Here is a 27547-nt window from a genome sequence, read left to right on the forward strand (position 1 = left end):
GTTATACGGGAATAATGAATGACTCATGGAAATATTTAGATTTCAAGACTTAAATGCAAATGTGCTGGGCTATTTTTTCTCCTATCATCTGCACGAACTTGCAAACTGAAGGGATGGAAAAGTCATGCTTGTGGGCTTTCCAGTAAAAATTACTTCTGCCTCTCTGAATAGCGATGACCAAGAATGGTCATTCAATACTTGGTGGATCCTGTGTTGGTGATTGGCCCCATGGGTCACTTTGCTCCCTTGCCTGCAGCCCAGATAAGTCACCCTAGCATTTCTCAAGCACGTTGCCAACTTCCAAGTCTGTGTTCACTTCTAGTGTTGCATTTGGCGAGGGAATGTAGATTCCTTCTCTCTCGATGATCTGTCCTGGAGAATAAATGGTAGATAATTTAATGTCATTTATACCTGGCCTGCCCTTTTCTGCATTCCATGCCCCCATCAGAAAGACTCCTCTGGCTAGGTAGGCCAGGGTGAGTGTCACAGTGAGTTTGTGAGAACACACCAATAGGCAGCAGAGTACAGACACGACCTTCAAGTATACTGGCCGGTGGGAAGAGCAGAGGAAGAGTCACCCTGGCTGGGTCTCATCCATCAGTGAATAATCATGACAGTGCCAGCAAATAGCTGACTTTGCTAGTTTATCTTGCTGGACCAGAAGAGCCTTCCTTTCCTCTTGTCAGCTGAACTGGCTCTAAGTGCAGAGCGTCATACAGATTTGCCCAATACACTAGTCATTTTCAGTGCCCATGATTCAGCTGCCATGGTATGCTCCAGAACAGAGCCTGTACCTCGAGGCTGCCCAACAGGGTAGAGACCAAGAGATCACCCAACATGCCTGCTGAAGAAGTGACCCCTTGCCAGGCCCCACATCCCAGCTCTAGAGAAAAGGAGATCGTCCACCTTTGCAGCTCCAGCCTATGCTCCCAACCCTGTGATGGGGGTTGTTGTTAAGGGTTGAATTGTGTCCCCCGCCACCAAAATATATGTTGAATTTCTAACCTCTAGGACCTGTGAATGTGACCTCATTTGGAAGTAGGGTCTTTGCAGATGTACTCAAGTGAAGGTGCAGCCATGCTAGATTAGGCTGGACTCTAATCCAATGTCTGACGTCCTTATAAAAAGAAGGGAATTTGAACACAGACACATAGAGGAGAATGCCTTGGGAATTCGAAGGCAGAGATTGGAGTGATGCATTTACAAGCCAAGGGACACCGGGTATTGCTAGCAACCACCGAAAGCTAGAGGAGACAAGGAAGGATCCTCCTAGAGTCTGCAGAGAGAGCCTGGCCCCACCAATACCTCGATGTGGCCTTCCAGCCTCCAGAACTATGACATGATAAATTTCTGTTGTTTTAAGCCACCAGTTGTGGTACTTTTTTATGGCAGTCCTGGGAGATGAATAGAGCTGTGTCATTCTTATTTTAGAAATGAGGAAACTAAGTTGTAATCAGTTTAAAAACATGGGCAAGGCCACATGCTTATAAGTGAAAGAACAGGGTTCAAACCCAGGAATGATGTGTTTGAAGCCTGTGCTTTCTCCAGGACAGCAGCCTGCCACCCTCCTGTGTGTGGTCTTTGAATCACTTGCATAGGGCACTTTTGTGCACCCTTTTTCTCATTTGGTCCTCAAGATGGTTCTTTGGGGGAAAGGGGGCAGGTATGATAATTCCCAATTTATAGACATGGAAACTGAAGTCATGCTTGGAGCTAGTTGAGGGCTGAGCCTGGAACCCAGGCCCCTTAACTCCAGGAGGGTGTCTTGCCATCGTTACATCTGTTGGTACTCACTAGGCAGTCTTCCAGCCAGCACCATTTCTGGAGCTCCCCTCCCCCACATTGACCCCTGGAGTCGGGGGACATCCAAAAGAAATGGAGGCACACAGCCTTTGTCCAAACTACCCTGCTGTGGCTTGTGGTAGCCACTCAACTAGGCTCTGGCCTTGGTGTCTAGATTCCTGGAGGGAACTAAAGCCTTCCTGGTGACTCAGTGGCCCATCAGGAACCAGATGGCAGAAGGTACCTGACCCCAAGTGTTTTTGCCACCAGGAAACACCTACTGCTAGGCTGCCCTCCCCACCTAGGGCACCACTGTCCTGAATACCAACTCTGGCCAGAAAGAAACCACAATTCACCAATCCTCTGGACATCCCAAATTGGATTGTTGACTAAATGTTTCCTACCACCTGAAAACCTGTATGAGTTTCCCTGCATTCATTTCTGGGATGACAACTTTTCTGTGTCAACTTGGCTAGGTTATGTTGCTTAGATGCTTGGTCAGATACTAGTCAGGTGTTGCTGTGAAGGTATTTGTAGACAGGATTAACAACTACAATGAATTGACTTCCTAAAGGAGAGTACTCTTGATAACGTGGGTGGGCCTCATCCAATCAGTTGAAGGACATAAGAGCAAAACCTGAGGTTTCGTGAAGAAGGAATTCTGCCTTAAGTCTATCACATAGAAATCCTGCCTGAGTTTCTAGGCTGCCTGCCTTTTGGACTTATTAGCCCCCACAATCCTGTGAGCCAATTTCTTACAATAACTTTCCCTGTCTCTCCCAATATCTCTATCTCTGTCCCTCTCTACACACACACACACACACACACACACACACACACACACACACACCCCCCTGACTGTTTGGTGAGGATTCCTCTCCTCTTCTGGCCTCCACACTGAAGCGCCAGGATGCCACGTGGCTGCCTAGACCTGATTGATAACAGGGGGCCAAGCAAGAAATGAGTGCTGGGATTAACAGCTTACACTAAGCAGAACTGACAGTTTCTACATTTTTTCAACAAATATTTATTGAGTGCATTCTGTGTGTGAGACACCATGCTTAGGAAGTACCAAAAAGTCAGCTGAGGGGAGAACAATCCCAAATTGACTAACCCAGGGGAGATATGGTTAGAATAAGTCTGAGATGAACGTTGTTATGTCTGAAACAGAGGAGGGCCTTAGGAAGATCTGCTGTGGCTAAAGGATGAACTGGTAGAGTCCACCCCAAGAGCCTAATTCTAAACTTACATAGAGACTCTATCTCTAATATCATAGTGTTAAGGTAATGAAATTAAATACTGGGTGTTCGTTGTTTTGCAATTTTTCTCTAATTGTTATCTGTGAGCAAAAATATGGGTAATTTAATCACATTTATGATCTATAAGGATCGAGAATGTCTATGTTAGTTCTATGTTTATGAGGTCACCTGACTGATGAGTTATTGTTACCAAAAAGTGAGCATCTGGTGGCAATCAAACCTGTGTGCGAATGTAAAAATAATTAACTTAGAGTGCCTAGTTAAGAATTATTGCTAAAGCCTCCAAAATAATAAGTAGTGGCAAGTATGCCTCTGAAGTCTAAAGAAATAATTTGTGACTTTCCAGCGATCCAAGATTATCTAGGCATTTTCATGAACACAGATCATCAACAGTTGATTGTGGGATATTTACCTTCTTCCTAACACTGGGTATAATCTCTGTTTCTGTTCAGGCATCCTTAGGACCAAAATAAGAATGTTTTGCTCTTTTTACCACCTACTCCCTGTTACTCACAGGCTGGCTGAGGAGTCTGGCTTTGGCATTCGTTACTGTTTTTCCATCCTGCTTTTTAAAAGTCACTCTCTCTCTGTCTCTCTCTCTCTCTCCTCCCCCCCGTCCCACCCTCCTTCCCTCCCTTCTTTCTCTCTCTCTCTCTCTCTTTTTGTCTTTCTCTTTCTTTCTCACCCAACTTAAATGTCCATGGTCCTTTTCTATTCTTATTCTACCAACTCTCCCTGGATAATCTCACTCCCTCCCAAATCTGTGAATCTAACCCTGGCTGCTCCCCTGAGTTCCAGTAGTGTAATTCTGACACATTTCTTCACATCTCCATCTGGACGTCTCACAGGCACCCCAAAAACTGTGTCACAAGCTGAATTCTGTGTGTTTCTGAGTCACACTTATGCCTCCTTCCCTGTGCCCCATATCAGGCAATGGAATTTCCATCCAGTAACCTGAGCCATCCTTAGGTTTTCTTACCTTACAAATTCTATTGGTCATCTCACCTCCCAAAGAGTTCTCAAATATACTGGGTATCCCCACTTGTGCCTTGGTTCAGGCTTTCCTAATCTCTACTGCCATTCCTGCAGCCTGTATCCTCCTTTAGGGCAAGGCATTTCTTGTCCATTACTGGATCCCCATCAAAAGGCCACAGTCATTATAAGCATTCACTAAGAAACAGCAGAGTGAGAACCATGGACTCTGGACCCAGACTGTCTGGGTTTATTCCCAGCTTTTACAGTTATTAGATGCATGTCACATACATCTCACCTTCTTCATTTGTAAAAATGTGTTGTCGTGCAAAATTAAATGAGAATACATATGTAATACACTCATAGCAGTGCCTGACATATACACAATAAAGTGTTAGCTATTATACTCAACAAATGTATATTAATTGTTCCTTCATAATCTATTTGCAGCCTGGGTGTTGGTTTAAAAAAAAAAAAAGACAAATGTAATCATATCAACCTCCTTCTTGAAATCATTCACCAGCTGCCCATCACTCACAAAAAAAAGTTCAACTTTCCTGCATCCAGGTCTTTGCCTGCAAGCACCTTTGCCCCTTGCTGCTCACTGCTCTTTTGTCAGGTCAGCCCCTTCCTGCCTCCTCATCTAGGTTCACGCTCATCTACCTGCCTCTCAGCCAGCTAACGAACTCTTTCCTGGCTTTCAATACCCAGCTCAAATGGCACTTGCTCTTCCACGCAGCTCCCCTAGATGGAGCTGCTTGCCCTCTGCCTATACTTCTATTACAACACTTTTAGGTTGCATTACATTATTCTTTGTTTATCTATCTCTCCCTTTGTATCCTCCGATGGGAGGTATATTAAGGGAAAGGTACCCTCTTGTCAGACCATAGATTTTTATGATACGATTTTTGGTATGGAAAATGTGGTCATCCTAAACATGCAGTATTTACTTGACAGGAAGGAAGGAGGGCAGGCCATAAATCCAGTGATCCTGTGGGCAGTGAATGCTATGCTTTCCTTTGTGCTCCTGATTGGACAGTACTGAGCCCCAGGAACCTGAGATTCTATTAGGGAACCTTACAGGGCCAGTATTCTAGGCAGCAGGACAAGTGACCCAAATTCTTTTTTACCTTCTGGCCTTTACCCCTGTAGGTCTTGAGAACAAACAGAAGTGGGATGCAGATGTTTCAGGCAGCCTAGATGCAGCCTCTGGCTCAGGTCTGGCTGTAGCTGCCTCCTGAACTCACTGCTCTCTCTCTCTCTCAATGCCTGCATATTCCACACACAACATAGCATCCACCTGAGAAAGTATCAGAATCCGTGGCTAGGGCCAGATGGGCTTCTAGGCTATATATAGATGGTCCAGCCTTTAGCCTTTGTTGTCCCCTGATACTTCAAGGATGGGAGCCAAGTGGCAGAACATCTGAAGTTCAAGACTCTTGGTTTCCCTGGCACATCAGCTCATCTCCTTGTAATGATAAGTTTAGTATTTGGTATAGCAGTATAATTCCAAGGACATTCTGCAGTCAAGGGTTTTATGGTATTGATGCATACTTTGAGCTCTCAAATATCTGTGTGAATGGAGGGGAAAAGAACATGAAAAACCAAAACCATTTCTATTTGACGTTAGAGTATATCATGTAGTTTTCTGTCTCTTTTTTTCTGCAGCAGCAATTTACCTAATGATGTTTTGCTCAGATTAATATTAAAGTGAGTTTGTATTCCTCAAGCACACCCCGACTATTATAGCAAGGCATCATCAGACTGCGCCAGAAGCCAAACTGGGATTAAGTGTTTGGCCCATAGAACCCCCACATGAATAAATTTCATCTAAACAGTTCGTTGTTGCTGGGTGCAGTGGCGCATGCCTGTAATCCCAGCCACTTTGGAGGCTGAGGCAGGAGTATCACCAGGGTTCGAGGCTGTAGTGAGCTATGACTGCACTGCAGCTTAGGCAACAGAGCAACACCCCATCTCTTAAAAAATTAAATAATTTAAAATAAAAACTCAGTATTGACATCTTCAAGGAGATTGGGTATATGTGTAAGATGGTGGTTTGTTGACTCACGTCTCCTAATTTATAAAGCACTTCCATATACAGTCTCTGGTTTAACGGAACAGTGCCCGGAAGCAGGTAGTATGATTCTCATTTTACAGGACAAAATTCTGAAACTCTGTGAGCCCAGTTAGTGCAGAGGAAAGAGGAAAGGCAACACAATGTTGCAGGGGGCATTGAAACCAGGTTTTTGGTCTCCAAATCTCCATACATGTCCAACTACCTGTCTTTACAGTATCATAGGTGTATTTCTTTCAGTGTCAACGCTATTCTTTAGATGATCTTTCAAGATCCTTTCCCATCTGAGGATACTATCTCTGATCCCAGAGAAGGTCCCAAGCCAGCTAGAACACCCGAGACTCCCTGGAAAATGTGAGCTTACCATTTTCCCTCCATACCAACTTGTTCCACCTTTGGTTAACAAATGGGAAAGTTTTATACTCTCTTCTTTTTCTCTTCTTAACTCTTAGCTAGAGTCTTCTTTCTCAAGAAAAAGAAAAATCAGACAGTGTTTAAAAAGTAAGGGAGAAATAGGCTGGGCACGGTGGCTCATGCCTGTAATCCCAGCATTTTGGGAGGCCGAGGCAGGCGGATTATGAGGTCAAGTGTTCGAGACCAGCCTGACCAACATGGTGAAACGCCATCTCTACTAAAAATACAAAAATTAGCCGGGCATGGTGGCACACGCCTGTAATCCCAACTACTCAGGAGGCTGAGACAGGAGAATCATTTGAAGCCGGGAGGTGGAGGTTGTAGTGAGCCGAGATTGCAACATTGCACTCTAGCCTGGGCAACAGAGTGAGACTCTGTCTCAAAAAAAAAAAAAAAAGTGATGGAGAAATAAATGCTGACATTAAATTAATGCACGACATTGCTGGATATATTACCCGCTTTTCAAGAAGGTCTGTTTCATTTCAGAAAGACTGTCTAGGAAAATGGAGAACAATGCTAAGTAAACCAGTGAATCATTTCTAATACTGCTTAATACTCTGTTCTAAGAAAATGGAAAATGAATAGAGTTCTGTTCCTTAAAGCTAAGTAACATGATAGCCCATATAATGGAAATATGGATCCCTGAATGTATAATAATATTGGTTATTTATTGAGTGCCTCTCTCTGAAGAAGCTCAAGGTGTGTTAACATTATTTTAGTAATTCTCACGGCCCCTCTTCATGTGGATTAAGGTGCTCCATTCATGGTGCTCCTTTCTATGGGGGAAGACAATGGCACCCAGAGAAGTTGAGTGACTTGCCTAGCACCACCACTCAGCAAGTCCAGGTCAATGCCAGGATTAGAATGTAGGTCTCCTCACACCAGATTTTCAGCCAGTAAGTGAAAATAGATACACTAGCATATGAGTTCTATGGGCAACAGACCCATCTGGGTGCTTTACGTGGATAGGAATTAATTACTTGCTTCCTTTTTTCCTCTTGGAGTCAGAGGTGGAAAGTGCATGCTAAACCAAAATATCAGCAGACAATCCATTGCAGACACACTGAGGGAAGCCATCCATGGGATCCTGCTGAGGGACAGGAAGAAATCACCTCCTCCTGCCTCTCCCAGAAGGAGTCTTGGAGACACTGCGTTCTCTTACCTCTTCAGCCCTGGACAGTGTGTGATTGACCATTGGGCACTGCTGGGAGTTGACTATATCACAAGCAACCTTTCTATAAATTGCCATTTAGTTCTAAAGACTGTAGAAATGCATATGAAGGACCCTTTGTCCTTGGCTATGCTGGGAGGGGATAGAGTTTCAGGAAAGAAGAGAGCTCGTATCATGCATTTGTGTAGGGAAATGGTGACTAAGCTACAGAGCCCTAACACAGATCCAAGAGAACCTGCAACGTGTCTGGTCCACTCTGTCAATGACGTCTTTGGGTAGGCTGAGGTGGGATTGAGTTCTAAAGGTTGGAATCACTGGCTTTTAAGAGTCTTCCTTCCAGAAGAAAGCCTGGTATTGCCCTAAGTGCTTCTCTGGAGAGCCCTGGAGGAACTCTCATGATGCATATATTACAGCCATAGAAGCTCCAGGAGTTCTGAAAAGTGGCTGTAGCCAGATAGCATTCTTCCCCAAAGCATCTTTAACATGTGTCACTGTAAGAGAGAAAGTATAGTATTTCTTGTCCATTGAGGAAGGCATCAGTATAAAAGGAAGTTCCCGCCTTTGTAACACACCATCTCCCCACTCCCCCTTCACTCACGGCTACCATTAGACAGAAGGAGAGTGAACATACATACAGCTCTATGAGTTAACTCACTGAGTTTCCAAAACAACCCCACGAGGTAGGTTTTATTATTCCTTCCATGTTATACAGGAGGAAACAGAGACCTAGAGGTTACCCAACTTACCCAGGATTGCATGTCTTGTAAATGGTGGGGCCAGAATTCAATCTTGGGCAGTCTGGCTGCAGAGTCTGGGTTTTATTCACTACCTGTCCTGACTGCCTGGCTCCGGTGTCCCCATGAATCTGGCTTCAGACTCTGGGAAAGCAATTGCATTCTTCCGAGAATGTCATTTCTTCCAGTATATATAGAGTGAAGTATCAATGAGTCAACAGATTGTTTTTAAGGATAAGAGGAACTTTGGGCATGAAAGGGGGGTTTAATGCCACTTCATAGCTCCATGGACAGCCCCACTACTGTCATGCAAAGGACCTACACACACCAGGATTGTGGTCAGTTGATGACCAGCCCTTTGTATCTCTCCCTCCGTCTAAGAGCATCAGGGATGCTGATTGATGGTCAGTCTGATGCACAGTCCAAATGTCAAGGGAGCTAATTCTAATTTTGCTGTTGTCTAATTTTCAATTTCATCCGCAGAGCTTGACCTGTCTTCAACATTTGGGGCATAGACTATATATAACCACCTATCTACTTCCAAAGTGATTGTATTCACCAGAAGGAACTGGCCCAACTCACAGTCAACAGAGACGTGTATAAATCAATACAAATGCCTATAAATACAGCAGAGTCACAATAAATGGTGATGGGTATAAATAAATAATGTTTAAGAGTACTCTAAGGGGGTGTGTAGGTTGAGAGTTTGCTGGCATTGGGGAGAAGGCGTGGGATTAATTAGGGAATTTATTGGAGTAAATAAAGATGCGAAGATGAAAAGGAGAGGAAGATGCAGTACAGCTGCCATTTGAATGAAGGAGAGTGTGGCATGCCTATGGCACAGCTTGATGAATGAGCACCAGAGAAATTGAAGCCATTGCCAATGATTTGAGCGAGGCACTTAACCTCCCTGGGTCCCAGTTCTTCCATCTGTCAGTATGGAAAATTGGGTATTGAAATCAAGAGAACATAGTGAAGCATTTTTAGTTCTTCAAAAGAAAGGCATCACTGTCATACCTCCTTTGGGCTAAGGAAAATCAATTATTTGGAAGAAATGCCTATGGCATATGACACCTGATTTGCCCCAAGCGCCAGTAACTCACATGTCTTTTGGGAAGAAAGTGATCTAAACCATCCACATAGAAAAAAATGGTAGGCATTCAGAATCTTGCAAGACACATACTTCTCTTTGGCATCATAGAGACAGCATGGATTTAGCCTAAGCCAAGGCTGTATAAGCCCAGACCCAAATCTCAAATGACTGCCCATTCCTTGCTCTTCTGGTTGGCGTCAGTCAATCACAAGTAGAATCAGATGTTGCCTTGCCAACGTGACTGATATGTTTCTGGGGGAGCTTTGTTTATGTCATGGTTTTTGTTCGTGTGATGTTCTCTGTTTTATAACTTTGGTCTCTAGGAATTTTTCCCACAGCTGTGCATCATTCCTTATCACCCATAACCAAATATGGCAGCTTTAAATAGTGCTGTCATTTTCCTCAATTTCACTTGTGATATAATCAGGTATAGATTTCTGACATTGAGCATCTAATGGGTTTTCAGATTCAGAAAGCAACAGTAATAGATTTTTCAGTTGAGAGACAGATTGAAATAGTCATAAGTGACAGGGCATGTGGAATTCATGCACATTTACTCAGAGAAACTTGGGGGTCAAAAAAGACCCCAGGAGTGGACCACACTAGTGATTTCTATTGCAGTAGGAGTATAGGCATGATCGGCTCCTTTACTGCTTCTGGACTCTGTATATGGATGCTACCCTCTCTGTGTCTTCCTGTGTCTGCCTCTGGCTCTTAGGATGATGAAGGAAACACAGTCAAGCCATGATGGACACAGGAATGATTAACTGGGGACTTGGATTCTGCTGCTCTGGAGTCCTTTGCCTTCTGTTAGAGGATTTATGTAATGACGGGATGAGCCAAGCTCAAATGATTTCCTCATTCTTCTCCTGTTCCCTTCCCTAAGTTACTGGGTTTTGTCCCCCAGATTTTTCATTTTTCCAGTAATACCTGAGTGTTGTATGCAGACTGAGCATGGATCCACAGTGGGTCAGAGAACTTGCAATTGGTATCAAAGGGCAGTTCCGTGGTCTGAGCCAATACTGTGAAAGAAAAACAGTTTCAGATAGATCACGTGAGAGGTCACTGTCATGCTGCTGAAAGGCCACAGTGCCCAAGAACAGCTGCCCTTTTTGGCAGAGGATGAGTATTTCCATCCTCTCCGTGTACCCTCCAAAGAGGAAAGTAAAACTGCACCGCAGGCCCACCGGCTCCCTAAGAAGGAAGGGAAAAGCATCCAGAAGAGGAGCGGAAAATCACCCATGATGGGGGCTATGCAAATACAACAGGAGCGTGCAGAACTGTCTCCTCCCACCTGCCTCAGATGCAGCCGTGGAAATAGCTATTGCTACTTGGAGTTTCTCAGCTTCTTCTAGCTTCCCCTGGATAATGAAAGCTCAGAAGGCTGGTTGAGTTTAGCTCGGTATTGGCAAAGGGAGTTCCCTTTTGTGTTTCTGGGAAACCCAGTGTAAAAATGACATGCCTTGATAGTGACAGTAGGTTGCGCCATGACTGATACAATTTTGAGCTTAAACGCTTACCTGTTCATAGAACCCTGAGCTTAGTACTGATTTTCAGTCCTATCCATGGACTTCCTGGATTTCTGGCATCATAGAATCATAGCGTTTTCCATTTACAATAGTCCTTAGGGTGCATCTAGTCCAGTGGTTTTATAGTAAATGAAAGAAACCAGCCTGGGACAAGACAGGGTAGCAGCATGGAGCTGCAGAGAATATGCCCTGTCTCCAGTGGGCAGCCCACACTCAGCTTCAGCCAGTTGGGAAGTTGGACTCAGTGGTGTTGGATCACCCCATTTTTTAAAAAGCCAGAAATCTAGATTTGTATGTGAAGTTACCTAATTATTTAACGCTGGCAACTAATACAAACTAGGTAGATGCTGCAGGATAAACAATTCAACTCTGTGGGCCGTATGCATCCATAAGCCACTGGTGTGTCACCTCGGATCTATTCCCACTCCAACTGAGGCCAGAAAGGGGTGGGAACTTGCCTGAGACCACACGGCTAAAGACTTGGAGCAGATGACTTAACTCCATCCTTCTCATTCCATTTTGTTTTCCCGTGAAGAATGGCGGGGAGCTTGGTGCCCAGGATTCCATTCCTGGCTCCATTGTCTGGCTCACAGGACTCTGGCCAGACTCATCCCTGGCCTTGCAACGTGTTTTCCCACGGTGCAGTGGAGTGAGCCCTGGGCTTTGAGTCAGGAAACATGGGCTTTTTTGGGTCCCGGCTCTTCCATTTACGCACTGTGGAACCTCGGGCACATCTCTGACTGCCCTCGGCTTTGGCTTCTTCACTTGTAAAATGAGAATAATAATTTGTGCCTCCCAGGACTGTTTTGAGGTTGACGGGGGAAGGTCTCACTGTGTGAGATCACCCTGCAAACAAAACCCAGAGACTCCGGTTGTATTAGCATCCTGGTGAAAAAGATGTGAGTGTCTAAGAGGGATGCTGTGGTCGAATTCAGCAATGCAGACAGCAGCAGCTCAAAGGTGCTTCCTGAGTCCATCCTCCACCCCCGATGGAGGACACAGGGTGGTACTTCGGGGCACTGAGGGTTGTTCCTCTTTGCCAGCACAAAGCCTGCCTCACCCCAGGGAGTGGCATGGCCCCTGCTGCTGTTCTGTGTCACCTGCTGAGGTCAGGGCTGGGTCGTGTCATTTGCGCAGCCCGGCAACACCCTCATTCCCAGTGTCATTTAAACCAATCACCCAGAACCCACAGAAATGGGAACTGGGGCCAGACCCACACTCACTACCTCCTCTACCCCGCCCTGCCTGCCCCAAGGTCATGTTGACTGAATATGTGCGGTGAATCTTGTTTTTCTCTCCATTTCCAGGGACGCAAACCCGGCTATTTCTCCTTCCTGGACCCATTTTCTCCGGGCGTCTGGCTCTTCATGCTTCTAGCCTATCTGGCCGTCAGCTGTGTCCTCTTCCTGGTGGCTCGGTACTCTCCTCTTCCCTTCCCTGTCCTTACACCGCCACCTCGTGTCCACCTCTGGGAACTGCATGGGGAGGGGGTGGGGAGGAGGAGAGGGGGAGGAGGAGTTGGGAAGATCTTGGTGCCAAACTAGAAGGACAGGAGAAGGACTGGGGGCCTGAAATGCTCTCTGCCCAGCTGTCGACCTCATGCTGCCCATCCAAACATTCCCCACTGTGCACGACGCAGACAGGTGGCTTGGCTTCTGCACCTCTGCCTCCTGTCCCCTCCCACTTCTCCCCAGACCCCCACCTAAGCCCCTTGCTTGTGTAGGAGCCCTGGGAAGAGAGGAGGGGTGGGGTTGGCAGGAAGATGACTCTCATTAAGCACTGTGCATTTGGCTGCCCTGGCATCAGTCATTGCCACAAAGGATCTGCCACAAAGTGCCGAATGACAAGGAACAGAGCCTGCAAATCTGGACTGGGGGCACTGGGGGCTGCAGTGGAGCAGGCCAGGGAGAAGGCTTTCTCTGCAGACAGCCTGGGCCTGCCTCTGAAAACACAGCTGCCTTGTCGAATGGGAACCATGGAGGCTGCTGGCGGGTGGCAAGGAGACGGGATGGAGAGAGGCGTTTTCAAGAAGTGCTGAGTTGAGACGCACGGGCCAGACCAGGGAGGGGGGAGAATAAGCCCTGCCCTATCCCCAGGAAACCAGGGGCTGCCCTGGCCCTTTGGAAAAACCTGAGGAGCAGCCTGAGGCTGTGGCCTCCCAAGACTGTGCACAGCAAAGGTAGTTTCGCTCCAGGCCAAGGCTGTTGGGCCAGCCTGAGCTGCAGGAGAGCCAGCTTAACCCTCCAGAAGTGGGATGAGCCCTGGTGGCTCCCAGGCCACTCACTCAGGTCCCTAGTGCTGCTAACCCTCCACTTACTGCAGTGGAGGCTCACAAAGGGCTGTTATGTGGGAGCAGAGAACTACTCAGGAGGAGCTTCTGGAATCTGTCCGTGGCTCTGGTTTGCAGGTGTCTCTTCAGTTGTTACCTTTGCCTCTAGGCCACAGTGGGAGGGCAGACAGTGTTAGAGTGCACATCCCATCTCTGTGGGGTGGGTGGGGTCTTCCCCTAGGGCACGTTCATTCACTGGATTGATGGGGGCACTTGGGGATGGAGCTGCCGCATGGTAAGCCCTAGGGAACCACGGGCTACCTAACCCCTGAGGGCACTTCCCAGACTGCCAGAGAAGGGTTGCATCAACCTGTCTGCACATACCTCTTCTAGTGGAGACCAAGGTCCCCAAGATCAGGAAGGTCTTTGGGGCCCACAAGATGCAGCCAAAAAAAGACAGGCCTTGCTGACAACCTGGTCATTTTCAAACGTGGCAGAGTTTGCTGCTTGGGCACCACCAACCCCTCTCGGGCCTGTAGGCATGGCCACTGTTGAGTATCTGCTGTCAGTGACGGCCTGCGAGATGGGGAGCTAGCACGCTGTCTGACACCTCCCCTCTCCACTTTGCCACACTGCTGCCATGTTAGGAGGCTGTCTCCGTGAGCCTGGTGCCACTGCTCTGTAATTCACACTTGCCCCTTGGATGTGAGCCCTTGCGTGTGGCATGCCACAACACTCAGGTCACCTCAAGGGCCCTGAAAAGTCTTGGGGTTTGGAGAGCAGATACATACAAGCCTGCTTCAGCATACCCACAGCAGCCTAGAGCTTTCAACCAGCCCTGGGGTGTTACGCTGCCCCTCCTCCCTCCCCTCCACATCCAAACACACCCCCTCCAGCATCTAGCATCACAGAAAGGTTAACAGAAAATGTGCTAAAGGGCTAACCATACGGCCTCTCTCTCTCACTACACACACACACACACACACACACACACACACACACACACACACACACAAACAATACTGGAGTCTAGGGTATTCTGTCTTAAGGTAGTGATTTTCAAACATGGTTCTATGGACTGCAAAGGCTCCTGGGAGCAACCAGAGCCTTTGGGGGTGGAATGACAAGAGGCTGGGCAGCCAGAGCCCTGGGTCCCCAACTCCTCCTCATCCAGACCAGCTCTACTTTTATTTCTTATATATTGTACTTCGGGTAAGATTTTACAGGGAAAAAAAAATGTCTGAAAACAACAGCTCTTAGGTAGCCATTCCCAAGAGAGCTGATCTTCAGAGTCCTGTAGGGAGCTTTTAGACATTTGAATTCCCAGGTCCCATGAGCTCAGAATCTCTAGGGGAAGGGCCTGAGAATCTGTATCTTTGAAGTTCTGCAGATCCCACCAATGGTCCGTAGGCTTGGGAGCCAACAAAGTGGGGCACCAGAGTGCCAGCCAGCTCCTCGGGACCCACACAGAGGGACAGAGCACATCTCACAGGTCAAAGGACCAATGCTGAGACGTTTGTGTTGTACTCAGGAAGGAGAGGCGCGGATGGAAACGGGAGGCAGCGACAGTGGGAACACTAAGTGCACATCAGGCCGAGTGCAGGACGGGAAAGAGCAGTGTGAAGATAACACCGAGCACACAGCACCCCGCCCTCCTGGGGGTGCACACCTGTGCATACAGTTTCTCTCGTCAGAGCTGGAAGGCTTTGCGTACAAGATGGGCCGGGGCTGCAAGCATCTCCCTGGCGGGCAGGGGAAGAGCAGGCATTCTGGGCATCAGAGGGGCCATTCAGAGAGACGCCAGTGGTGAGGCTGAGAGGGAAAGCAGGGGAGTGTCCCCACCTCACCCCAAGGCACAGAGCTTAGAGCAGCCCTTCTCAGCCCCATGCGTGCATTACACTCACTGGGGAGCTTTAAACAAACACTGATGTCCAGGCCCCACCTGAGCCAATGAAACCAGAATCTTTGGGAGTGGAACTCAAGCAGCAGCATTCTTTTTTTTTTTTTGAAAGGCTCTGGGGAGGTCTGAAACACAGACAGGGAGAGCCTGGCTTTAGACACCATCGAGGCCAGTGGCTCTCAGTATGGACACTGGCCCGGTGGCACCAGCATCATCTGGAAACTTGGGAATTCTTAGGCCTCACCCCAGACTTACCAGTGCAGAAGCATTGAGGCTGGGCCCAGCCATCTGTGTCAGCACACCGGCTTGGTGGTTCTGAGGTAGGCTAAGGCTGGAGGGCCACTGCTCTAGGCTGAGGGTCTTCAAACCGTGGTTCTAAGGGACACTAATATCTCTCTCATCACCCTGTCACTGGCAGTGACAGAACAAGCGGCTTCCCAGGCTGTCCACCTCTTGACACTCCTAGCCTCAGGGGCTCCACTTAATCTTTTTTTTTTTTTTTGAGACAGGGTCTCACTCTGTTTGTCCAGGCTGGAGTACAGTGGTGGGATCTTGGCTCACTGCAGCCTTTACCTCCCGGACTCAAGTGATTCTCCCACCTCATCCTCTTGAGTAGCTAGGATTACAGGCACACACCACCATACCTGGCTAATTTTTTTGTATTTTTTAGTAGAGACGGGTTTTCGCTGTGTTGCCCAGGCTGGTCTCGAATCCCTGGACTCAAGCAATCCACCCGCCTCGGCCTCCCAAAGTGCTGGGATTACAGGCATGAGCCACCGCACCTGGCCATCCTCTATTCTGTATTTTGGAGTTCCACATCAGAATTTATTGGGGGTAAAAATGTCTCTTTGATTAAAAAAAAGTTTGAGAACCATCAACCCAGTTCAACCCACTTATTTTATTTTATTTTTTTTTTGGTTGCGAAACTCCAAGTCCAGCAAAGGGAAGTGGCTTGCCCAAGGCCACAGGCCGGTCTCAGAGGTGAGACCAGCCAGGAGAGCCTGCCTGTGTCCCTTCACACCCCGCCTCTGTGGCACTAGTGTATGTTCCTTTTCTCCCACAGGTTGACGCCCTACGAGTGGTACAGCCCACACCCATGTGCCCAGGGCCGGTGCAACCTCCTGGTGAACCAGTACTCCCTGGGCAACAGCCTCTGGTTTCCGGTCGGGGGGTTCATGCAGCAAGGCTCCACCATCGCCCCTCGCGCCTTATCCACCCGCTGTGTCAGTGGCGTCTGGTAAGGCCCCAGGCAGAGGTGAACCAGGCCAGGTGGGGTGGGGACACAAAAGGGGCCCTCTGATAAGCCGGCTCTAGCTTCTAGAGCCCCAGAGCCTCTGCCTCTTACAGCAGACCCACGCAGGAAGCCGAGTGCTTTCTGCCAGCTCAGAAGCTTGGGGCAATGGATGGGGCCTGCTCTGTGCCATCTGGTCCCCTTCCCCTTACTCTCTGGGGTCTGGATGCAGAGGGGAGCCAAGGGAGGAAGGGAGAGGAGGTGACAAAACAGCCTTGATGAATTTCAGCAAAGCAATGGTAACTTCCTGACCTGAAAATGACCTGAGGTTTGAGAAGGCATATGCAGATTTATGCAAGTATAAGCCTGCTGGCAGGAAGTCCCTGCAGGAGGAAGCCAGCCTGGCTGCTACATCACATCCCCTCTACCAGCCTTCTGAGGCTTTGTGTCTCTGCCTCTGGCTCTGGGGGCTTGCTGGCCTGTTCACCTCAGCAGGTGTGGGAAAACGCAACTCTTGTCGTTCAGAGTTGAGCAAATGATTCAATGTGTGGGAAAGCTCTTTGAAAACTTGAAAGTGCTACATAAACATATGGACTGATCATTGTTATTAGACCATTATGGGGGCAAAGGAAAGACAAAACAAATGTGTGTGTGTGTGTGTGTGTGTGTGTGTGTGTGTAGCCTAGAGAGGCAAGTTTGCAGAACACAACTTTTTGATCCTCTCTTAAAAATCTGCTGTGGGTTTGGCTGTCATAGCATACAGGACTTACGACCTTGGTTCTCTCCCTTCCTTCTCAGCCTGTTTAGCCAAAGGAAAAGGAAAGGTGATGTTTCCACCCTTGAGTACTGGTGCCCAGAGTGGGTGGTCTGGACAGAATTACTGGAGGAGCCACTGGGCTGTTAGGAAGGTGAAAACGCAGCTGAGATAGCCATGCCTTCCTGTCTGGGGTTTCCATTATCCCTGATAAACAACAAATGTAGCACGATTTAAACCTGGGCGAGATGCTTGCCTGTTACCAGATAGTTTGGAGAAGTCACTGAATGGATCACCATGGAGAACAGGAGCTCAGGTCTCCAGGAAGAGGGATGGACGATCTCAGCAAGGAGAGTCACGGAAGTCCCACCCACAACATCCGGGAACCTGGGCAGAAGCCCTGGGAGAGGAGCATCGGGGGATGTCGATCTCCTTCTCCCTGGGGCTTTTCCTTCTGGAGAGTGCCTGCTCCCACAGATGGATGCAGCTAGAACCCCATTGCCCACTTTATCCGCTTGTCAGCTCTACCCTTACCCCAGGAAATCCCTCCTCCAGGACCCAGCCATCCTGCAGGTTGCCCTGCCCTGAGGGGAGGACTCAGCGCTGCTTTAAATGGCTGGCCCCAGGTGGCTTGGTCACTGTTCCAGAGCTGTGTGAGAAGGGGCTCAGCGCGAATGCAAGCCGCCGTGACAGGCCTGTGCCAGCCCCGACTCCAGGTGGTCACTGCGCTTCTCTCCCAGCACACTAACAGTTCCTAGTTCTTAAATCAGGGCCTCGGTTTGGTCCGTTCCATGGAGGAGTGGGAGGTCAGAAGACAGGGCCATCGTGGCCTACCTCGACCTCCTCACCCAGAGCACGTGATAGAAAACACCATGTCGCTGGAGAGAATGCCAGTTTGACAACTGAAAATGCCCTTTGACACAGGAGCGAGGCTCCACTGAGCCCTCCGGAAGCGGGCATCATTCCCTTTCTCAGCAGAGCCGATGGGTTTGCACTGAGCCGCTTGTGCCCTCTGACCAGTTTCCTTGTGACCAATGGCCTAAATAGCCACCTGGTGTGTAGCCAGAGTGTAGCCAACTCTGAAGTCATGTCCACACCTAGGGCTCATTAACCCCCAGCACACACCACCACAGCTAAGCAGCTGCAGAGTGCTGGCTTCCTCCTGGGGACTGCCCACCCCAGGTCTCTGTTTAGGGATGGTCATGAGAGCACCTTCCAATAGGGCAGAAGAGCTGAGGCAGGAGCAGGGAGAGCAGACCTTGGGCATGGAGGGATACCTGCTACTTACAGGTCACAGATAGGGAAGGCAGAAGGAGGCAGCCAGGTGATTTTCATCCCATATTCAGTCTGATGGTCTCTCTATACATTTCTCTATATCTCACATCCCTCTAGTCCTTTACAGATTGCTGATCACTCATGACATATTACTTCATTTTATCTCACAACTCTCCAGCAATAGGCAGAGCAGGCATGATTATCCCCATATATTTATTAGACAAGTAAATGAGCTCAGAGAAGGCGAGTGGTTTTCCCCCACATTCTCACAGTGGAACACAGCCAGAACCAAAACCCAGCTCGCTCATGGTGGTCTGCCATGTAGACATGCCCACTGAGTCAGAGGATGCCCCTGTTGCTTCACTCCTGGGGAGGCAGCCAGCAAGTGTTCTTGGTCACAATGGCAAAAGGGGCAATGGGACCTGCTGCTCTTGAAAATCTACACAGCAGTGGCAAGTTGCCAAGTTCTGTGTGTTAATCACTATGCATTCATCGTCAGTGTCTCTATGATGGATAAAGCCCCATGAACTCAGGCTCCACTGATTCAGAATTTGTGATTCTCCATCCCAAACTGTGCTTAGATCTATCTTTGAGCCCCTTGGGATTGGGATGTAGATCCATACTGTTGACCAGATGGGAGAAGGCTTGTTTAACCTACTAAAATGAACACACAGTTTTTAATGGACTTAGCATATATGCTGCCTGAGCTGCAAAATTATTCTAATTTCAAATGAGTTCTGTCTACTCAGTAAAACAATCTTCTAATTTGAAATAGCATGACCATTGTAAGAGTATTTTCTAATTCCAGCCTTTCAGCAGTTCAAAAGTGCTTTTCGCCAGGTAGTCTTTATTAAAGATGTTCTGTTGTTACAATTTACAGAACTGGTTTTAAAATACAAATTTATCAGCTGGCACAGGGGCTCACACCTATAATCCCAGTACCTGGGGAGGCTGAGGCAGGAAGACCACTTGAGCCCGGGAGTTCTAGGTTGCATTGAGCCCTGATTAAGCCACTGCATTCCAGCCTGGATGACAGAGCAAGACCCTGTCTCCAAAAAAAAAAGAATTTATCGGCCAGGTGTGGTGGCTCACGCCTGTAATCCCAGCACTTTGGGAGGCCAAGGCGGGTGGATCACAAGGTCAAGAGATAGAGACCATCCTGGCCAACACAGTGAAACCCCGTCTCTACTAAGAATACAAAAATTTGCTGGGCATGGTGGTGCATGCCTATAGTTTCAGCTACTCAGGAGGCCGAGGCAGGAGAATCACTTGAATCCACGAGGTGGAGGTTGCAGAGAGCAGAGATTGTGCCACTGCACTCCAGCCTGGCAACAGAGCAAGACTCCGTCTCAAAAAAAAACAAAGAATGTATCACTGTGTTACTTGGCAGGTTGCTTCACTTCTCTGAGCCTCAATTTCCTCACCTGTAAAATTGGGATAAGAATTTTGCTTCCGTGAGCTCTAGGGATTAAGTGAGATAGTGGATGTAGCTCGTGGTAGCTGCTCACTGCCTGGCGATGCACATTTGAAGGTTGGCTTCAGCACGAGGAGGTGAGGAAGCCCTCCTGCTCTAGCTCTGAACAGAGCCCTTGGAGCTGGCACCCGCAGCTCATTCACTAGCTCATTTCTCACAGTCTCCAAAACTGTCTCATGTGCATGGACTACACCTCTTTTGAATAATAACCCAATAATCATCTCCTTTAGGAAATAAGAAAAACAAATCAACTGTCTTCTTCCAGGCAGTGCTCACAAACGCGATTCATTTCTGTTGACATCATATGCCCTGCCTCCTTTCTCTTCCCCCACTAAGCTGAAAGCTCTTTCATAAGAAAGATGCCTGGTCTCTCCCATGTCACAGCAGGACTGGGGTCAGGGGCCAAGACTCCAGGGAGTGCCCGGGCAATGATGACTTCCTCGTCTTTTCCTACATAGGTGGGCATTCACGCTGATCATCATCTCATCCTACACGGCCAACCTGGCAGCCTTCCTGACCGTGCAGCGCATGGATGTGCCCATTGAGTCAGTGGATGACCTGGCTGACCAGACCGCCATTGAATATGGCACAATTCACGGAGGCTCCAGCATGACCTTCTTCCAAGTAAACCCCATTTGGTTGCTCACCAGCATCGGGAATTGGGCAGAATAAAGTTGAGATGTTTCTCTGCTGGAGATAAAAACATCTCTCCGCATCTCATTATCTCTTTTGAACATATAGTTTGGAGGTCCACATGGGGCTCATTTATCTGCTGCTCCACAAAATACTCCTGGAATGAGGTCCCAAAAGAACTTTGCGTTAATATCAGCCGGTGCCAGAGTGGTGGTACTTGAGATGATTTTAGGTCTGATGTGGTGGAACTGTTTTTTAGTTGCCATAGTTTCATGTTTATATTAATGGCCATTAGAAAAAAAGTATATATATGCAGTGAATCAAACCTGTTGTTTTATTTATATTACTGCATAGAATGGGGTTAATGCATACATTTACATTTTTAAAGTGATTTAAATCGTATAGGTAGTATTTAGACAGAGCAAGATTCATACATGAATGACTGAAGTTTGAGGAACACCAGCTTAAGACGAACTGGCTTCACTGATTCCAGACTTGATAGGTATCAGATAGGGACCCTGTTGGCTTCTTTGAGTTTCCCTTGCAAGGCTCAGGAGAAAGCCCTGCCACAGCGATGTGTTCGCTGTCAAGCAAACTGATTGATCGCCAAGACTGACAGCCAGACCAGATGGAATAGTGGTTTTCATATGCCTCAAGCTCTCTTGGAAAGCAGGTTTCCCCTGGGGTTAAAAGGTGTCTAACCAACCTAATATCCAAGAAGTTCATTTTCCCATGAAACAAGTCCAATGCCTTCAGCTTTCTGTTTTCCAGGCAAGTCTCCGTGCCTACTGGCACAGACAACAGTGAAGTCATCATGCAAACACAGAGTTTGGATAGACCCCCAGAGTTCTCTGACTTGTTATTATTTGTAAAACAGCAGCCAGCATTGGATATGTGATTGATCAATTGGTTTAGGGTGGATGGAAAATAGGAAACTGCTTCTTCAAAGGGTATCTCTGTATAGTCCTAAATGAACCTAGTCCTAAATGAACCTAAGTTCACTGCCCCAAATTGAGGGACAATGAAGGTACCCAGCCAGAATTTCAGTTCTACCGGAAAATGGAGGTTGGCAGTAGAAGAGCTCTTGAGGGTAGATGAGGCAAAACCAATGACCAAATCAGGACCTTAGTGCGCTGTTGCTTCCTCATCTTTCTATAAAAGGTATCAAAGGCACAACTCCCTCCTCTGCCATTACACAGTGACAGTGAACATCTTGTGTTGAGAGACAGAAAGGGAAAAGGTTCTTGACTGTGATCAGCGGGTGGAGAAGCAGAAGGGCCGGCATCTTAAGGTGCACTTTGATTCCCTCTCTTTTTAAGCCAACGTTTCCTTCCTCTTTTCCCAATCCTGCTTCCTTTTGTTCTTTTCCCAGAATTCCCGCTACCAGACCTACCAACGCATGTGGAATTACATGTATTCCAAGCAGCCCAGCGTGTTCGTGAAGAGCACAGAGGAGGGAATCGCCAGGGTGTTGAATTCCAACTACGCCTTCCTCCTGGAATCCACCATGAACGAGTACTATCGGCAGCGAAACTGCAACCTCACTCAGATTGGGGGCCTGCTGGACACCAAGGGCTATGGGATTGGCATGCCAGTCGGTATGCGGGAGAGGAACAGCCTCTTTGGGTAGCTTTGTCCAGACAGGGTCAGGGTAGCTCAAACCACTGAATACAGCATTGAATCCAGTACCCCCTGTTGTTAGAACCAGTTTAACAGTGACTTTACGTGGGCATTCTAAAGTTTTTTTTTTTTTTTTAAAGCAAACACACATATTTCCTTTAATCAACGACCAGTGCTCAATCCTTAATTATTAAAGAGCTAGTTGATTAGTTACTGATTGATTAATTGACTAATTTAAAGGGCTAATAGTAATTATTAAAGGGCATGTTAATGTCTTTGGTGTGTATTTAGGCCTTTTGTTCCTTTTCTGGCTTGCTTCTCCTTGGCCATTTCTCTGTTGATTGCTATCTCTACTAGCAGTGGGAAGAAGGATGAGATGGTAAAATTTGAATCAGTTAATTTTGCTATTTGTTAGCGTTGCCAGTGAAAAGTTTACTTCTAAAGGAGACGGCCATGATTAGATGGAATGCTTTCAAATTATTTGTGGATTTCACTGATCCATCTATGGTAGGTCGGTGTGGGTCATGGAGAAGGGGCAGTAAGGCTCTGGTGTTCAGCCTGCTGACTGTCAGCCCGTCTTGTTGTATTAATAGGAGGATAGAGACGTTTGGCTTCCAGAAAGGTGTCCTAGCTGTGCTTTTTAAAAGGACATTCACACTTTGGACTTTGGGCCTTCCCCTGCTAACAGAACCTCCCCAAGAAGATGAGGAGAGAACATGTTTAGCTGCTGTGGTGATTGTGAAGGGGATCTGAATGTTCCTCCAGCCGCTTCTGACATGCACACTTGCCCCTTCACACACACACCATAGAGAGCCCGTGCTGTAGAGGGTTGTGCTGGTATGAGGGTGTTCTTGTACAAGGCAACAGGGGAAGAAGCAGGAATCGAGGCCATCAGACTCTGGGAGAAAATTGGTATACGGTATGCTCATCTTTGTAGTTACAGTACACATCCCTGCTGTTGATCTTTACCTTAGCTCAAAACTCTGTAAATTGCAGGATTCACTCACACCTGTGGAGTGTAACGAGCACGGGCTGGGAGTCAGGCAGACCCCGGGATGTGTTCTGGTCACTGGCTGTGGTACCTTAGATGCATTCTTTAGCCTCAGTTATCTAATTCATAAAATTAGGTTTCTAATACCTACATTATGGGGTTGGGAGGATTAAACCTGATAATCTAGTTAGGTGCCTTACCTCAGTGTCTCACACTGAGCCTACCTTGGGGTATATTAGTGTCCTTCTCATTTCTTCCATGGTTTCCTATGTTTTTATTTATTTATTTATTTATTTATTTATTTTTATTTATTTTTGAGATGGAGCCTCACTCTGTAGCCCAGGCTGGAGTGCAGTGGCACTATCTAGGCTCACTGCAACCTCCGCCTCCCACTTCAAGTGATTCTCATACCTCAGCCTCCCGAGTAGCTGGGACTACAGACGTGCACTACCACACCCAGCTAATTTTTGTATTTTTGGTAGAGACGGGGTTTCACCATGTTGGCCAGGCTGGTCTTGAACTCCTGACCTCAGGTGATCCACCCACCTCAGCCTCCCAAAGTGCTGGGATTACAGGCGTGAGCCACCACTACTTGACAAAAGCAAATGACTTAAATTCTGATCAGAAACAAAGAAAATGAACATAGGTAATAATATGGTTCATCTCTGAACTCTGTAAATTATGGCACTAGGAGTTCTGTGAACTGTGAACTGGAGGCTTCACTCTGGGTACTCAGAAACCTGCACACCCTCTATATGCTATTATATGTCATTGGTGTCCACTAATAATACAGATTATGGACACCTTTGAGAGATATACTCGCTGACATTTTGTTTCAAGATGGTAGCGTGAACTGCAAAATGAACTTAAGGCACACATTGATGATACTCTAGCAATTTGAACTAAATTTCAAATGCTTCCAAAGTTTTCATGGAACAAAACTATGGAGAGTTGGGGTAAGATAGACCACAACTCTAGAAATTTTCATCAATAACCAAGGAAAAATGGAAGGAAATTCATTTGCTCTATATCTGACATGACACTGTTTTCACATGTTCTCTCACTTAATAGTCCCCCCTGCAAGATAGATGTGGTTATTCCCATCCTATAGAGGACAGAACTCAGATTCAGAGCAGATAGATTACTTGTCCAAGGTCACAGAATAGGTAGAGAAGCTGGGTGTGAGCCTAGGATGCTTGTCTCCAGTCCAGTAATTCATTTACCAGACCATATTGCCAATGGGTCCTATCAGCTAGAAAGGACAGGATAGGTGGGAAGGTCTACTCTGAGCTAGCCCAGCTTCCCACATGAGGCTGGAAAGAACATTACACAGTTCATTGATGAGTCAGGATTTAGGTCCAGCTGGGAGTATGCCCAGGAGATACAAGCATGTATATCATTCTTAAGTGGAATGTAAGAGCCTAACTATGGAATAAGCAATGTGGTTAGACCCAGGAAAATTAAGCGAGACAGAACAAGGAACAAGATGGAAAATTAATCAGGTGGCTTAGGAACTAAGTAGGTAACCAAGGAGTAAGCAGAATAAGCCTTTCATGTGGCCCCTGGTGTGTTCTGAGGTTGGGTTGAACATGCCTTGAAACTGCTTGAAATGCTTTGCTGGGCTAGACAGTTCTCTCTAAACCTGAAATGTTCATTAGTCTCACCACCTAACAACATCTGTTAGACAACTCGTTCATGTGTCCATTCACGGCAGATGTGTAATAAGTACTTACTGTACTTGAAGCTCTGCTGGTGTTTGCCCATATCACTTGCACACGTTCAGTGCTGCAGGCTTGGGGTTCGGGTCCAACAATGTGTAAGATGTGTAATAAGTACTTACTCTACATGAAGCTCTGCTGGTGGTTGCCCAAATCACTGACACACATCCAGTGCTGCAGGCTTGGGGTTTGGGCGTCCAAGCATAGTTGTGTCTATAGTAGGGAAGGTTCTACTGTGGAGCTGTGGACTGTCACAGTTGGAAGAGATCTGGGAGATGTTCTAGTTCCTTGCCTCTTAAAGTGTGGTCCACGACCCAGCAGCATGGACATCACCTTGGGGCTTGTTGGAAATGCAGACTGTCAGGCCCCACCCCAGGCCTACTGAATCAGATTCTGCAGTTCAGCGAAATCCCCAGGTGATTGCAATGCACTTGAAAATTTGAAAAGCACTCATCTGTTTGTTCCAAGCTTCTGCCTGATCCTTCATGGTAGCCTTTCTCCTCTGGGGCATCTGTCCACATCCAGCCTTCATGGAGTTTGAGCAAGGAAACTGGGCAGCTTAGTTGTTTTCCAGCCTCTTGGCAGCTTTTTCTTAATAATGTCCCAGCCTGTGCTGGGACATTGAGCTTTCCGTGGTTTCACTTAAGCCTGTTTTTGTAATGAAATCTAAATTCTAGAACCAAAGCTCCTTGACAAAATCGCGTTAGAAAAATTAAAAAGAATGGTACTGAACAGAAAAAAACCTTCTTTTGAGGAGGGAAGGAGGACTGGGAGAAACAGGGTGATGGACAGGCCAGTGGGTTCTCGTGCACTCAGCAGGCAGTGCTGAGAGTGAGGAACACCTGGTGACCTGATTCTCACACTCTGGGGTGGCTCTTCTCTCATTGATTGGTGACTTCTCTGGATAAACAGTTGTCAGGTGTAATGTAGTGAGAGTTACAAGTGCCTAAGAAATTAATTAATTTATTTATTTTTGAAACGGAGTCCTCACATTCTGTTGCCGAGGCTGGAGTGTAGTGGTGCAATCTCAGCTCACTGCACCTCCGTCTCCCAGGTTCAAGCAATTCTTCTGTCTCAGCCTCCTGAGCAGCTGGGGCTACAGGTGCGCACCATCACACCCAGCTAATTCTTGTATTTTTAGTAGAGATGGGGTTTCACCATATTGGCCAGGCTGGTCTTGAATTTCTTGCCTCAAGTGATCCGCCCATCTCAGCCTCCCAAAGTGCTGGGATTACAGGCGTGAGCCACCGTGCCTGGCTGTGAGAAATTAATTTAAATAAAGTAGAAATTGGACACACCTGACTAAAAGGTTTGTGTCACAGAAACACAAACTTTGGCTTCCTGGAGGTGGATGGGATGCTTTGCAGCCAGCGTCCTGTGTGTCGGTGGGCAGGTTGTTTAACTTGGATAGACCATCTTTTTAATTTAGAAAGTGATGGTGCCCGGCTGGGGAAGTGGATGGCACAACTGCCTGGAAAGCCGTTTCTTGACCCATCTTGGGGTGTTTGGCCATGGGCTGGACCTGCCAGTCAGCATGGAGAGAAGGGAAGCAGAAAAGCCTGAGAACACTGCGTGAAGCCAGAATGCCCCGCTCTTCCGGGGGAGCCCCAGTGGAGTAGACAGCACTGGCCCCATGGGCTCGCCCCACCCGCTGCATCTGTCTGTCCCCTCTCGAGGTGAAAGCAGGCAGGGTGGCCAGGAGGTGTGCCGGGAAGGGGAGCAGAGTGACACCTAACAGGGCATTCACAACCTGTGTCCTGGGCTCTCCCGTAACCCCCGCAGGCTCGGTTTTCCGGGACGAGTTTGATCTGGCCATTCTCCAGCTGCAGGAGAACAACCGCCTGGAGATCCTGAAGCGCAAATGGTGGGAAGGAGGGAAGTGCCCCAAGGAGGAAGATCACAGAGCTAAAGGTAAGGACGTTCAGGGCCATCCTCCTCCTGCCCTAGAGGACCAAAGTAGCTTGTTTCTCGTGTTCAAATTCCAGGTACACATAATGACTTGTAGGACCCATTGAGAACGGCCTTGGAAGGAACCTAGGTATAAAGTGGGCTGGCGGGGGATCAGGTCTGTCCCAGGGTCTTGCGTATCGCAGGCACCCAGTGTCCACCCGGCTCCCAAGTCCTAGAGGCTCTGCCTCCATGTTGTTTCTTGAACCCAGCTGCCTCTGACCCCTAGCACCATGGCTTCTACCCTGGCCCATCATCTCCACACCTGTGCAGTCACAGTCGCCTGGTTTCAGTTTCCCATTCTTGCGTCTCTACAGTATATTCTCCGCTACTAGCCAGAGTGATCCTTTTTAAAAATGCAAACTCGATGGCAGCATTCCCCCCACAAACCTCCCAATGGTTTCCCATCCCACTGGGAATAAAATTCAGGACCCTGTGTGATCTGTTCCCCCTCAGCCTTCCTCTCTTCTCTGTGGTCCCCAAGCCTCCCATGTGGCTCTTCCACCCCAGGGCCTGTGCACCTGTTCCCTCCTCCTGGCCTTCCCTCGAAGAGCTCTTCACTCCCACCCTACACATTTCTCTCCATCACCTTAACCCCACCTTATTTCCCTTCTCAGACCTCATCGCTACCTGATATTATATTTCTTGTGTATTTGTTTACTTTCCACTTCCTCTACTAGAATGTAAGTTTCATGAGGGTAGGGTTG

The 27547-nt window shown here is 47.6% G+C and overlaps 1 protein-coding gene and 1 long non-coding RNA gene across 17 annotated transcripts in view, besides 2 other annotated features; one reads left to right on the forward strand and one right to left on the reverse strand.

The window, feature by feature from the left end:
- The window catches only part of GRIK4 (glutamate ionotropic receptor kainate type subunit 4), a 477159-nt gene that overhangs the window by 428772 nt on the left and 20840 nt on the right, over positions 1–27547 (forward strand). For 9 of the 16 annotated variants that reach the window (NM_014619.5, NM_001440403.1, NM_001440407.1 and 6 more), the window contains 5 exons: positions 12336–12445; positions 16261–16434; positions 20390–20555; positions 21937–22162; positions 26676–26804. In NM_014619.5, coding sequence (NP_055434.2) covers positions 12336–12445; positions 16261–16434; positions 20390–20555; positions 21937–22162; positions 26676–26804 — 805 coding nt within the window. Of the gene's footprint in view, positions 1–12335; positions 12446–16260; positions 16435–20389; positions 20556–21936; positions 22460–26675; positions 26805–27547 lie in introns of those variants that run through there. The other 7 variants (NM_001440409.1, NM_001440408.1, NM_001440410.1 and 4 more) reach the window with 2 other exon arrangements.
- On the reverse strand, positions 35–17520 carry LOC101929208 (uncharacterized). Its single transcript, NR_133004.1, has 3 exons — positions 17439–17520; positions 10430–10521; positions 35–372 (listed from the first exon to the last, which is right to left on the reverse strand). It is a non-coding gene; the product is annotated as an uncharacterized LOC101929208 (long non-coding RNA).
- Positions 14981–15481: an enhancer, noted in NCBI's record as "H3K4me1 hESC enhancer chr11:120826209-120826709 (GRCh37/hg19 assembly coordinates)". NCBI's record gives its function as "activates a minimal SCP1, AML or CMV promoter by ChIP-STARR-seq in naive H9 embryonic stem cells {active_cell/tissue: H9 hESC(naive)}" and the evidence as "EXISTENCE:reporter gene assay evidence [ECO:0000049][PMID:30033119]".
- Positions 18006–18227: a silencer, noted in NCBI's record as "fragment chr11:120829234-120829455 (GRCh37/hg19 assembly coordinates)". NCBI's record gives its function as "represses an EF-1alpha promoter that drives an FKBP-Casp9 reporter gene in an ReSE screen in HepG2 liver carcinoma cells {active_cell/tissue: HepG2}" and the evidence as "EXISTENCE:reporter gene assay evidence [ECO:0000049][PMID:32094911]".

The sequence above is a fragment of the Homo sapiens genome, chromosome 11 (assembly GCF_000001405.40).
Source record: "Homo sapiens chromosome 11, GRCh38.p14 Primary Assembly".
In the NCBI taxonomy this organism is placed as follows: Eukaryota; Metazoa; Chordata; class Mammalia; order Primates; family Hominidae; genus Homo; species Homo sapiens.